Below are 13,682 nucleotides of genomic sequence, written 5' to 3'. Positions count from 1 at the left end.
ACCTACAGAACATTACCAGAAGCTGCTGAAATTATCAAGGCTTTGTGTAATACTGACTTCTATAAAGCACATGGTTTATGCCCAACACAAGGGAACCATCTCGTCTGATAATTTTAACTCATCTCAACAAAGTTGAGTCGTGCTCTATAATCAGTACATGGACCAGACCATGTGCCCGCCATCGTTTACTGAGCACTAACTATAGGCCAGGCACCGCTAAAGGTAGAGGGGATGTATCAATGAACAACGCAGGCATAAACTCCTGCCTTCAGGTAGTTTACATGCACAGGAACCCAGATGAAGGCTGGAGTTGCCTTTATTCCCAGGTAGCCGAGTGTGGTGATCAAACATTTTGTAGTGCCTATCCTTTCAACAAAACTATGACCACGGTAGGGCCTGTACTGAGGTCCTCTCCTGCAAAGAATAACTCACCCCCATACCTGAATGTGTATGCCAGATGGCAGAACTTTTGTAACACAGTCTTGAATTTAAAAAAAAGAAGAAAGAAAGAAGGAAAAAAAAGATGATCACAGTATCAAATGCAGGCTAGATAAACCTGGAAGGATCTACCTCTGTTATTTCAGAGTCAATAAGTAAATAGATAGGTATGTATTTCATTATAGAAATATGACTTCAGTGTCAATACACCTATTTTACTGCTTTTCTGTGCCAGAGGTCATCCCCTCCGTAACCCTTTTTATTTTTTAACTGTTTTGGGGATTCAAGGAAATATGTTATTTTTAAAGTGAGAGAACAGGAATCTCTGTCCCTGGAATGACAAGGCAAGATGGCTAAGCAACAGAAGGCAGATGACCCAGCCCTGCCCTGTCTCCACACACCTGCCTCTTAGAATCTGGGGGCTTTGCATCAGTAACAAGTAGCCCCGAGCCCACTGGCATTTAAGTAAGTGAAGTCAGGCATTAGGGAAGGCTCCGGCTTTTAATGACATCAATGGGATCAGCCACCAGGGGAGGTATGAACAGGCAGAGAGGAAGGTGACCTGAATGGGCATTCTGCACCTGCCACAGGGCGTATTTTTGATGCTTCTAATGGCCTCCCTGGGCCTCTGCCATCTCAGGGATCTTGCCATGCCGAGCTGGCAAATTCCTAGTCAGCAGAGCCATCTGCCCCAACTTGTTTAACGCCAGCAAACAGTTGACTTACAAGGCAAGGCTGTGTCACCAGAAGGGATCTGAGACCTGGAAACTCTCAGGAGGTGCCATTATTAAGAAGAAAATAATGCATACAGGAAAGTGCTCCCACACAGAAAACACTGGCACCTGTGCAAGTGTCACACACCAACTCCAATGGGGACAATAGCAAGAAAAGGGTAGATTCAGACTGGCAAAGCTTTGAGGCAATCCTGGAGACCACTAAGCTCAAAAACCTTCATTTTTTAAGATGAGGGAACTGAGGCCCCAAAAGGGAACAAGACTTGCTCCAGGCCAGAGGGCCACCCATCAAACAGCTGAATCTAGGACTCCCTTAATCTCTGGTGCCAGGCTATTCCCACCACACTTGTTCTTGCTGCATGTTGTACATTACTTGACCAAAACCTCCCATTTTTTTGAATGCATGGATAGCAGGTCCAAACAAGTGCAGAGATCTACAACTGAACTCTAGCCAATTTACTTTCTACTGATCACAACTTCCCTGAACAACTGCCCTGAAGTAAGAAAGATTACATTTAAATGAAGTGAATTTCCAAGTTCGCTTAAGCAAAGTCATGGCTACAGATACACATTGCTGGAAGACAAGCCAGAGGCCACAGTTGGGTGAACCAATGTGGTGGAGGCAGCTGCTGAGCAGACTCTCCTCGGGGTCCCCTGACCAGCCTCCTTCCCAGGTGAATGGCTGCCTTCCCTCAGGAAGGGAGACAATGGAGAGAACAGCGAGACTGGACTATCTTACCAGAGATGAACTAGCTGAGCTCAGAGAAAACCTGGGTGGAAAGGAACACAGGAAGATGGAACTGATGGTATTGCTCCCCCACCCATATCCTCTTGGCTTTTACCATTTCTCTGCTGTCCGGCCCAAATTGCAACTGCCAGTACCTGCATCTCTTCTCCTGAGGGCTTTCTCTAGTGGCTCTGTCCATGTGCCTGGCAAGCCAGGAGTGCCAGGGAACTCAAGTCCCCAGAGCAGCCCTCCATAATGCAGGGCCCCAGCTCCCTTGCCCCTTGATGTGGGGTAATTCTGGGGCACGGTCTACACTGACTGCCAGGGTTCCCCAGCAGGACTGAGCTCCAGCTGCCCACAGTGGTAACCTGCTCAATAAGACACCCTCTATTTGGCTGCTCTGATGGCTAATTTTATGTGTCAACTTGGCTGGGCCACAGTACCCAGAATCTGGTCAAGCACCAATCTAGATGTCACTGAGAAGGTATTTTTTTATATTAGATTAACATTTAAATCAGTAGACTTTGAATAAAGCAGATTACCCTCCAAAATGTGGGCAAGCCTCATCTGTTGAAGGTTTTAAGAGAAAAAGACTAAGGTTCCCAAAAAAATAAACTGCTTTTAGACTGCTTTCAGACTTGAGCTGCAACATCAACTCTTCCCTGAGTCTCCAGCCTACTGGCCTGCCCCCAAGAATTCAGACTTCCCAGACCTCATAATCTCACAACCCAATTCCTGAAAATCAACCAACTAATCCATTTCTTTCTCTCTCCATTCTGTTTCTCTGGAGAAGCCTGAGGCCTGCAACTGCCTTCCTTTCCTGTCTCACTGTCCCATTTCCTTACTGGTACCTCTTGGGATCATTTGTGTATCAACCACATGCACTCAGATCCTTGACCCAGGCTCTGTTTTGGGGAGAACCCATATTAACACAGGGTAAGTAAGGAAAAGCAAATAAATTCAACCTGCAACGTGTGCCAAGCACTGTGCTAGATAATTTACAAACACCAACTTTACTCCTCCAAAGTTTCATCTCACTGCAGAAGTACTGATCCGGAAGTACTGATCTCTTGCAACTCAAGGAAGAGAGAAACAACCCACAGTTCACAGAAACTGAGCTGAGGACAAGGCAACTGCTGCTCCTCTCCAGCGGGGTGTGTGCATGCCAGCACATTAAACTTTCAGATTTCTCTAAAATGTTAAAACATACAATCACAGACATACCGCATTATCCAATTCACCAAGTGCAATCATTCTGGAAGCATTTCATCTCTAGAACTGCCTAATTAGTACTTTTCCTTGATTTAAATTTTGACATTTTAAATTACCCCAAAGGAAATTACTTCTACATCAGACTGTCTCCTCTAGAAGAAAGCAAGAGTCACAACGAGAGACCCTGCCTGAGGAGGCAAGAAGAAATGCTGACCACTCATTCCAAAGCCCTGAGCGGAACTGGCAGTTTTACCAGCACCCACTGGTAAAGGGTCTGGTGGAAAGGGAAGCAGAGGACATGTCTGGGAAGCAGCCGATCAGCTGCCCGGGCTCCGCGGTCAGGGCCCTGGGAAGGTGGGTGGATCAGGCTGTCCAAGTTGCCCACAGCCGGCCATGAGGTAAGCCAGCCTGGCCAGCCCCTGTCTGTCCCTGGGAGGCTGCTAGTTCTGATTAGGGCCTGCTCCAACAGCACATTTCACATCTTTAGGTTTTTCCTTCTGGCAGCTTGTGTCCCTGCCATGTCGAATGATGTCATGGTGATGGAAAAGCTGATCAGCCCCGAGTAATACTTTCAGCCACCTCCCTGCCCTGCCCCCGGCTGCTTCCCGAGGAGCCCCCCTGCACGGGCCTGGGCCAGGAGGGAGCCAGCTGTCTCTCATCAACTCTAGCTCTGGTCTCTCCCAGCAAGTTTTGATTAATTCCTGCTCTCCGTCAGAACAAGATTTCAGCTGTGAAATTCTAACAAATTCTCCTTCCCGAGTTTCAGGCTAACCATGGAAACACAGGAGCACTGGGTCAGAGTGCAAAATGCAATCACTCAGAGAGCGCCCCTTCCTGGTTTTCGTTTCACACTCTGGTGAAAGCCCAGAACTGCCAGCTTGATTCCCAGCCTCCAGAGATTGACAAGCAAGTTTAGGCTTCAGCCTGGCCAGTGAGTAGGTACAAGCACCGTCCACGGGTGAGGGGCAGGGTCCCCTTGGGCAAAGCATTCACCACCTTCACCTATGCTAGCCAGGAGGCTCCAAGGGGCCACAGGCTGTTCCCAGGCCAAGAATGAAGTGATGAATAATACTATTAGGGACAGGAAGAACTCCTATTTTAAAGTGCTTTATGAAATACGTTGTAAACCTGCTCCTGGAGGAGCCCACAGTCGGAGTGAGAAGTCTGTGTCTGTCTGTGTCCCAGTGCTAAGCACAGTGCATGCCACACAAGGGGCCCGGAGCTCATCTAGAAAAGCCAGCAAGAGAGCAGCTGGTTGTTTTTGTCCCGTCTGCCTGCCCCCCTCCCACTAGAATGCCAGCTCCATGAGGGCAAGGACTTTGCCTGTCCTGCTCACTGCTCCGTGCCCCAGGATAAGCAGGGTGTCTGGCACTCTGTAGGACCTTAATTATTATTGTTTGATTGAATGACCCAACAGGGATTCAGCAACTCAATGTAACTGGATGCTTGCTGTGCTGGTTTATGAAGCTGTTGTCCTCAGCTCCAACCCACCCTTCTCTACCCTGCACTGTGACACTGGAGCTGGGACCCTGCAAACCTCACTTGTTTTGCCAGAGGCTTGCTGTGAGGCTCTGCTAATATGGAGCATCGGAGGGAGCCTGCAAGGCTGGAGAGGGCAAAGGAACTCGCTCCTTCCTCCCTGCTTCCTATTCCTAGCAGCTTATCCCAGCAACAGTTTCTCACGGCAGCTGGCCCCAACAGCAGTTAATTGTAGTTTTCAATTTTCCCCCCATTCTCCCAGAGCCAGCCTCATTGCACTCCCTCAGAGAGATCAGCAGCACCAGCCCCCTCCTCAGAGGTTCAGGTCCTAGCTCCGCAGGGCCCCTTCTCCAAGCTCATAGGTTCTGATAACCCCAAGGAAGTGGTTAACCCGAAGTATAACCTTGAACAGTGGTTCTCAAATTGAACCCATCTGGAGGCTTGTAAAAACACAGATGTGGGTCCCACCTTCAGAGTTTCTAGTCAGAATTTGCATATCTAATGAGATCCCAGGTGATGCTAATGCAGCTGGTCTGGGACCACACTTTGAGATCCACTGGTGCAGACCTGGAGGCGGCAGCTGCTTCCTGCAGTTACTCCCAGGTCGTCCATGACCTGTTTAACCCATTCCCAGTGCTAAATTTCCTCTGTTAAAATAACTGGTATGGTTTTTGTTTTCCTGACTGGACTCTGCCTGTTTCAGAGGCCAAGGCAGATTCACCTCCTACAGAGAAAGTCTGTATTTCCTACAGTATTTACAGAGGCTACAGCAGCTTGTGTCCCGCTAATGAGCTGGTCCTGAACACTCCCATGACCAAGTAGGCACTGTGGTCTCCCATTTCTAAAGCAGGAAATAAAGAGGCAGTTGGTGTCCCTTCTCTGTACATAGGCTTGAACCCTGCCAGGTAGAGAAGAAGAAACCAAAGGCACAAGACTAACATCAGCTGCTTATGGCTCTCAAAACCATCCTCAGAGAGCAGGTCATGTAGCTGAAGACAGCAGCAGATAAATACCACAGAAGATACCACTTCTGACAGCAGTACCTAGCCCACCACAGGTATCTGTGTATTGCTCTGCCCAAATGCAGCCGTCCTGCTAACAAACTCAGCCCAAGATATGCAGACATTGAGAGGTGCCTGGAAGGCCTGCCCAGGGCTGGCACTCATTCACCAGGCATTCCATGGACAAAGTCATCATCCACATGGTTCCTCTGCAGCTGCCAGCACAAAGAGTAGGAAGGCTGGTAACCCAGTGTCTCAGCTGTGGGTTCCTGAGGCAGAGGCCTGGAGATGACAGAGTTGGCCAGCACCCTCTGCTGAGCTTGGATGGAAGTGGAGGGTATCTGTGTCCTGGAAGTGCCCATCTTTCCTCCATCTGAAGACTGACCTTCCAAACTGTGCAGAGCCAAGAGGCTGCCTTCCTTGCTGAATTCTAGGACACCTCACCCAGAGCTGGGCCCCCACAGTTACCTGACCTTTCACCTCCACCTCATTTCCTATCACATTTCCATAAGGCCTGCCCATTTTTCCCTCCCCAAACTCTCCATTTCACTGCCAGCACATTTTCTGGCAGATTTCTACATTTCTCTTTCTACTGCAAAGATTGAGATATGAATGCCAGAGAAAGTGACAGAAACATGCTGGGGATGAATAATTTTCTGCATTGCCTTATTATATTGAGATATCAAAATTCTCCAGTTACCATCCCCTTTAAGCCTGATTATCGGGGAAACACACCCTTAGAGTGTAAAGGGATGTTTGACTTTATCTATGAACCCATGTGGCAGATGGAGGATAGGGAAGAGAAATTAATGGGAGGGTACACTGGTGCTGAATGGGCCCCACCTAATGTCAGATATAAGCCAGGTTGCTTCGCATTGCCCACAAGGTACAGTACAAGATGCCATCCAACTGCCAGCCTCTTCCACTTTACCCCAACACTTCTGGGGCTATGGCTAAGCCTAGACCTTCATTCTAATTATGCTTAGCAGTCTGTGAAAGGCTCATGCTAGATGGGGCCCCAGAAAGAGCCACTGGTCGGGAACAGCATGAGGAGGCACCCACATCTCCTCTGCGCTCAGCTCATGAACCTTCAAATCAGAGTTTGCTCTACCACTTGTCTCATGCTCTGAATCACTCTTGCTCTAACTTGCATCTTGGTTTCTTCTTCTCTGCTTCAGCTATGCCAATTTACCTTCACTTTCACAACAGCGATAAGTGAACGTTGTCTAACACTGCTTCAAGGCCAAAATAGTAGAAACTCTTTGTAACTCCCTTTAGAAGCTCCATGAGGGCAGGACTATATCTCCAGTGCCTGGCACATGTGGATACATAATAAGCATGTGTCAAATGAACATACACAGAAACTATTACTCGTTTGCCCTTTTTGAGAGTTCTAGAATAGTTCTCATTCTTATGTGTATCAAAATTAATCTTCATTCTTTAAAAATGTTTTTTAACAGAGTCCAACTACGTGATGAGCTGGCACTGGACAGAAGACAGACTGCTTAATTATGTGGAGGACACACGAGTCCCAGAACTATCAGAAAGCTTTTTTCCTTAAGACTGTAGTATCTTAAACAATTATGGAGGTGGTGAGAAATAGTTGTTAGAAAGCAAAACTAAGTATCATAAGATCCAAATTCAACTCCTGGCTTCAACAATATCTGTGTGATCTTGAGTGAGCTGCTCTTTCTCATTGAGCTGCACAAGAAAATGTTGTTAATCCTCCCTCACTAACCAGTTCCCAAGTTTTATGGTATGGTTTCATTCAATGTTGAAATTTCTAAGCTCTTTTTAAAAAATGATAAAATAAATATGTTTAATAGTTGAGCTTATTCAATATACCTGAAGATCAAGAGAAATTGCCAATGAGACAGCCAAGAAGGATGAACATATTAAATAAGGTAGAACATTTGAGGTGTGGCTGAGGAATGAACTAGCTCACGTAAATATTTCTGCATGAGTGGGCGTGTGTGCACACATGTGTGCTCCACAGCAGTGCTTCTCAAACTTAAATGTGCACAGGAATCTTGTGGGGCTCTTGTGAAAATGAAGATTCTGATTCAGAAGTCCAAAGCGGAGCCCAAAGTCCTGCATTTCTAACAAGTTCCCAGTGATGCTGACAATGCTAGGCCAGGGGCTACACTGTGAGTAGCAAAAGGAGTCACTCATGACATTAAAAATATCTAAGAACGTCAGTAGGTTCAGGTCCCTGTTAGTGTTTTTGTTTGCCTGGAGTTTTTCTTTCTATTATTAAATCAGCCTTTTAAATAAAAATGAAGCACCTAGTAATATGCATAAAGCTCCAGATTCATTTCCTTCAGGTGATCACGTGCTCTGAATTCCAATCAACACTGGTTCTATCTTGTTCTGGGGTTTAATCCAGTCTCTAGAGCTGGGCTAGCAAGTTGATTTTCCCCAGCCAGAAAAATGGCAGGGACAGTTACCAGCTGTCAGGACAATGCCTGCCTCTTTTCAATTCTGAGCTGCCAAAGCAGCACCCCTCTTTTAGAAACCTAAGCCTCTGTAACACCAGCATCCGAATCCCACCATCCATCTTTGGTCTCCAATTCCATAGTAAATGGTATAAGTCCCCTGACATCTGGCTGATGCTACAAGCTCAATAAGGAGCCTCCAAAGTCCTGTCACTTCTGCTTTCTAACTGCTCGAATGTTCCCTAAGGGCCAGGCTCCGGGCACTATATCTCCACCAGTCCCATAGGACCTGTGGTCCAATGAGGCTTCAGTCTAGCCCTCATATTTGCAAAAAGAATGCTTGGGGTCCAACATTATTTGTCCTAGAGCTGGAGGTTGTGTGACATTAGAAACATGTTGATAAGCAGGAAATAGAAGGGGAGGAACCTCAGAGGGAAAGGATGTCCAGCCTGTGTGCCTGCTGCCTGCAAAACCAGCTGGGAGGAACAGCGACAGGGAACATCGGAAATATCCCACTAGCCCACTCCAGCTAAACGGGTATCCTGAGCCCTGACTTGGTGGCTCATTACCAATCTCTCCTGGAACGTGTTTGCCATGGAAGCTGAAGCAGGTGGTGACGTTCAGGCAGTTCACAGGCTGCTGTCCGTCGTGACACTGAGGCGCTGTGATGTTGATGGAGCCCGGGAGGAAGATGGAGACATCCACCGTAATGACAGGCCTTGCTCTGCAGGGCAAGAGAGGAAGGTGACTTAGTCGTGGTAAGGAGCAGCTCTCAGAACCAAACAAGAACTAGACCAACAGGATAAATCCTAGGCCTTCAACCCAGCATTTAATTAAAGCATGAAATATCCCAAGAGAGAAGGGCTAGTATGTTCTGTGAGCATTTTTTTCTGGTTTTAGAAGGGGCATATTGCCTAGTAAATTAATAGTTAGCGTCCCAATAATAAAAGCAAGTTTGTTGTTAATAAAACGCATCTGGTTGAAGCCATAAATGAACCACCAGATGCTGGGTAATTATTTAAAATTTTACCAATTAAGTACCAATTTCCATTTTATTAGGGAGATAAGAATACATTTAAGAGGATTTCCTATAGCAGATGCCATGATTCAAGAAATAGATGCATACTCAGGGATTCCCTCAAGCATTTGCTGCCATTATGAGCATGAACTGCAATGTTGTAGCCCCATGCAGTTGGTCAAACCTCCTGCATCATTTACCTCCACCAATTCATTGGGTAATTTCCTAAAAGAACTTGATAAGTGGAGTCCCAGCTGGTAATAGCAAAGTGCTTCAGGGCAGAAGAAATCAACCTGCCCAGTCTTATGACCAAATGAAACTCAATAAATAGCCATACTCTCCTCCCTGCCATGGACCATCTCCCAGTGCTTGATGAATGGACAGCACCTGTGGGCTCCCCAAGGACATCCCACAAAAACAAAGAGTAAATCACACCATTCTGCTCCCACTGCAGACATCTGCTCAGGCAGCATTCACCTAAGCTACCGCTCAACCTTCTCCCCTCCAGGCCTCACAAAGAGACCCTTTTACCTCTAAGGAGCCCTGGCCTTCACACCACTGGGGTGACATAACAAGATTAAGGGGCATTAGTAGCTTGAGAACAATGATGCCCCTGTGTACAATGATCCCTCAAAGAGAGCCCAGGGTGATAGGGCGGATGGGAATGATGACCCACACCAACTCCAATGGAAGAAAGCGTTAAGGAAAATCTGGGTGAACAAAGGAAGTGAAGAGACACGAGGCACAGATAGGGTGAGGGGACTCCACTGCTGCCACCATGCTGGGAGATGGGGTCAACAGAGAGTAGTGATAACAGAGGCAGTGGAACTGCGGGACTTCCAGAGCAAATCTGGCCACAGGACAAACGGAAGTCAGACAATAGCAGTGCCTGAAAGAAGGCCAACACCTTAGTCTTTCCATTTTCTTCTGGGTTCATCCTTATAGGATACTAGAAATAAATCGGAAAGTGGATCTCTTACCCCTGGCCAGTGTGATTGTGCAGATGCCAATGGACACCCTATAAAACCCCGTCGACCTTTCAACAGCCAGCTCAAATGTTCCCACCCTGAGGAAGCCTTCTCTAGTACCCCTGACAGGCATCCTCCCTCTCTGTGCTTCCAGCTCTGTACACACACCTCTGGCCCCCACTTACTAAGGTGAACAGTCATTGTCTATTTCCAAACCTGCCCCACCATCCTGCAGCACCCTGCAAGGGCTGGGATCCGGTGAATTCATCCTCTCGTTCCCATAATAAATGTGCAAACACCCTTGTTAAATAAGTACAAATTTTACTCCAGCCTAGGAGACTGAAAACCACGAGTGTCCAAAGCCTCACAGATGGACAGAAGTACCATGAAGAGCTGGTCTCCACCTTGCCTGGTCCCTGACGCGCCTGGTCATGGTACAGAAGAAAAGCCTAGCCCGCCCCATCATCCCCAGGGGCCACCTCGTCAGGGAGGAGGCCGAATCCTCCTCTCACAAAAGAGCTCTGCAGAAGACAGTGCGGCAGGCAGGAAACAGACGTGGGCAGCCCAGACACAGTGACCTCAGTGGAAGTTGGAAAAACAGTATCCTTTGAAATGGACCACAGGGACCTTCACAGGTACATCTCCTTCCCACAGCTGTCGGATCAGTTCCCTTCAACCTTTTTGTTTCAACTCCAAGTATTGTTTTTGGATGAAGAAAAGCCCAGAAATCTTTCAGAGGCCTCTCTGATCGCTTCCTGTGACCTTCAATGGGAGAGCACCGTGTGCCTATCACCCTGACACAGGACCTGCCCCGGAGCTAATCTGAGGGAAGCAAACTTCCTGAGGGCAGAGCGGGCCAGCCACACTCCTGGGGGCAGGGGAGACTGTGTCTCACAGTCCTGCCTACAAATGTGCCAGCCTCTGAGATAAAAGCAAAGGAGCACCCAAGGACAGCACCACAAGCGCTTTCAGTGCTTTTTTTTTCTTAAGAAGCTGGTAGCGGCCGGGCGCGGTGGCTCACGCCTGTAATCCCAGCACTTTGGGAGGCTGAGGCGGGTGGATCACAAGGTCAGGAGATCGAGACCATACTGGCTAACACGGTGAAACCCTGTCTCTACTAAAAATACAAAAAATTAGCTGGGTGTGGTGGCGGGCACCTGTAGTCCCAGCTACTTGGGAGGCTGAGGCAGAAGAATGACGTGAACCCGGGAGGCAGAGCTTGCAGTGAGCCAAGATCGCGCCACTGCACTCCAGCCTTGGTGACAGCGGGAGACTCCGTCTCAAAAAAAAAAAAAAAAAAAAAAAAAAAAAAAAAAAAAAAAAAAAAAAAAAAACCTGGTAGCTGGAACACTTCTCCCTGAGGGCTGACAGTTCAAATCCTGTCACTTCACTTCAAGGTAAATAATACAACCAGTTGGGATGCCCTTTGACATGTTGCTCAAGGTGCCTTGGCCTTCTGCAAGGCAAGGACAGATAAAGAGCCTTCACCCCTGGTGCCACTGGTGCCATTGTTAGGTTACTAAGCCAGCCCTGGGGCCACCTATCTCCAGGGAGCTAATTTGAGGTCATATAGTTGAAAGCCTCAGCCAGGTTTTCTCTTAGCTGCAGCCCATAGCATTCCTAACCCACATACCTCTGGCCTCCTGCCCTTAGGAGGGTTAGGAACGATGGGCAATATATATCTATGTGTGCTTGCACATGCGTGGTCTCCTAGCCCTCCCTGCTTTTCTAGTCCCACCCAAAACCTAAAGTAACTCAAAATCTAACATCAGTTAGGCCAGGCTGAGCCAAGCCCCTACTTAACATAGCCAGCTGATGCCTCCAGGCCTTCACTGCTGCTCAGCTGAATCCTGGGACTTTATCAACGGCTGCCCCTGCAGACATCCAGCCTGCTGGCCCCTCAGACATGCTCAGCAACCCCTTTGCCTGCCCCACCTTGCTTCCTCTCTTAGGGGCTCCAGCCTGTCTTTGAAGCCTTCCCTGCTCTCCCTGATTCCCTTGTCCTCCTGGAATAGACCAGGGTGGTCACCCTCTGCTTCATCCTCATCCACATCCCAAACTGAACCTCGCCCTGACCTTATTCCTATCTTGGGGCCTGGCTCAGAAGATGAGAGCCCCTCGCCCCCAGCCCATGTACCGGAACTGAACCTTGCTCTGACCTTATTCCTATCTTGGGGCCTGGCTCAGAAGATGAGGGCCCCTCGCCCCCAGCCCATGTACCAGATTCCATCACTCTCACCAACCTCATCCCCCCATCCCTCATCTCTGGAGCAGCCTCCCATCCTCCCTCTTGTCTCTTCAACCTCTCCAGGACCCTTGGGTGTAGGCACAGGGTTAGGGCATCAGGGTTCACATAGATGAGGGTGAAGCTGAGGGTGACCACCTCTGATCTCTTCCAAGAGGGTAAGGGACTTGGGAGACCAGAAAATGGCTCAAAGACGTTCTTGGCCTAATCACTGATCTAGAGCTTCCCGTCCTTAAAACACCTCCCTGAACTACCTGCTGGTCCCATTTGCTCCTTTGCAGCCAAGCTTCTGGAGAAGCAGTCAAGAGTCACTGTCCTTCTTGTTTCTTCTCTCACCCACCCACTGCCATCTGGCTTTTGCCCCATCACTTCTCTAGAGCCACCACAGCCAAGGGCACCCCTGACCTCCCCCTGCCACCTCCAACAAGTCTCAGGCCTCACTCTGCTTGGCCCTTCCTGCTGACTTTGACACCACTGCCTGACCAAGTAACCCTGCCTTAGAATCCTCACAGCACCTACCACCATCTGGAATCACCTTCCCTTTTATATTAATAAGATCTGCATGTCCTTGGTCTCCTCACCCATAAAATGGGGATAACAGCCCCACTTATGTCATGGATTGTTAAGAAGACTAAGAGTTGTCATGTGTTCTGTCAACAAGAGGATGGATGAACAAACTCAAGGATATTCAGTCAATGGAGTGCTACTCAGTAAGGGGAAAAACAAGCAACACACCAACATGAACGAATCTCAAATGCATCACACTGATTAAAAGAGGCCAGAAACAAGAGTCCATACTGTATATTCCCACCAATGTGAAATTCTAGAATGGGCAAGATGGATCTATGGTGATAGAAGTCAGAACAGTGGTTGTCTATCAGGAGAGGGGTATGACCAGCCAGAGGCACAAGGAAACTCTCTGGGGTGACAGAAGTATTCTTTATTGTGGTGGGGTGGTAGTCACACAGCGTATGCAGTGGTCAAAACTCATGGAGTCATACTCTCAAATTGGTGCATTTTATTGCATGCAAATTCTACCTTAATACAGAAAGAAAACAATAACAAAGAATGAACACAAATGAAGTGCTCACACTGTGCCAGGCATGCGGTAGGAGCTTACCAAACATTGGTTGCATTATTATTCACTTGCATATGGCTCTCTGGCTATAATCTAAGGTCACAGGCTAGGTCAGGTTTCCCATCAAATCCCCAGGATCTGATGCATGGCTGCATCTCAACAGGTCAATGCACCTTAGCTGAATGAATAAGATAATGGATTATTGTGACCACAACATCCTTGCATGCTACTCTACAGCTGTCATGGCCCGACCACTCTTCTTGGGCCTTCCATGCTCTTATTCAGGGCAGGGCTCCCCAGGCTCCTCTCCTAGGTCTCTTCTCTTGATATGTGCTCTCCCTGGAGTT

At 48.0% G+C, this 13,682-nt stretch overlaps 1 protein-coding gene across 1 annotated transcript in view, besides 1 other annotated feature; it reads right to left on the bottom strand.

The window, feature by feature from the left end:
• The window catches only part of ITGA9 (integrin subunit alpha 9), a 371,367-nt gene that overhangs the window by 281,444 nt on the left and 76,241 nt on the right, over positions 1-13,682 (bottom strand). Inside the window, exon 14 of the mRNA NM_002207.3 lies at positions 8,596-8,750. Within this exon, the coding sequence (NP_002198.2) occupies positions 8,596-8,750 (155 nt within the window). The remainder of the gene's footprint in view (positions 1-8,595; positions 8,751-13,682) is intronic.
• Positions 3,625-4,126: an enhancer, noted in NCBI's record as "H3K4me1 hESC enhancer chr3:37579429-37579930 (GRCh37/hg19 assembly coordinates)". NCBI's record gives its function as "activates a minimal SCP1, AML or CMV promoter by ChIP-STARR-seq in primed H9 embryonic stem cells {active_cell/tissue: H9 hESC(primed)}" and the evidence as "EXISTENCE:reporter gene assay evidence [ECO:0000049][PMID:30033119]".

Source organism: Homo sapiens, chromosome 3, assembly GCF_000001405.40.
Source record: "Homo sapiens chromosome 3, GRCh38.p14 Primary Assembly".
NCBI lineage: Eukaryota > Metazoa > Chordata > Mammalia > Primates > Hominidae > Homo > Homo sapiens.
This window is presented reverse-complemented; position numbering and strand designations above follow the sequence as displayed.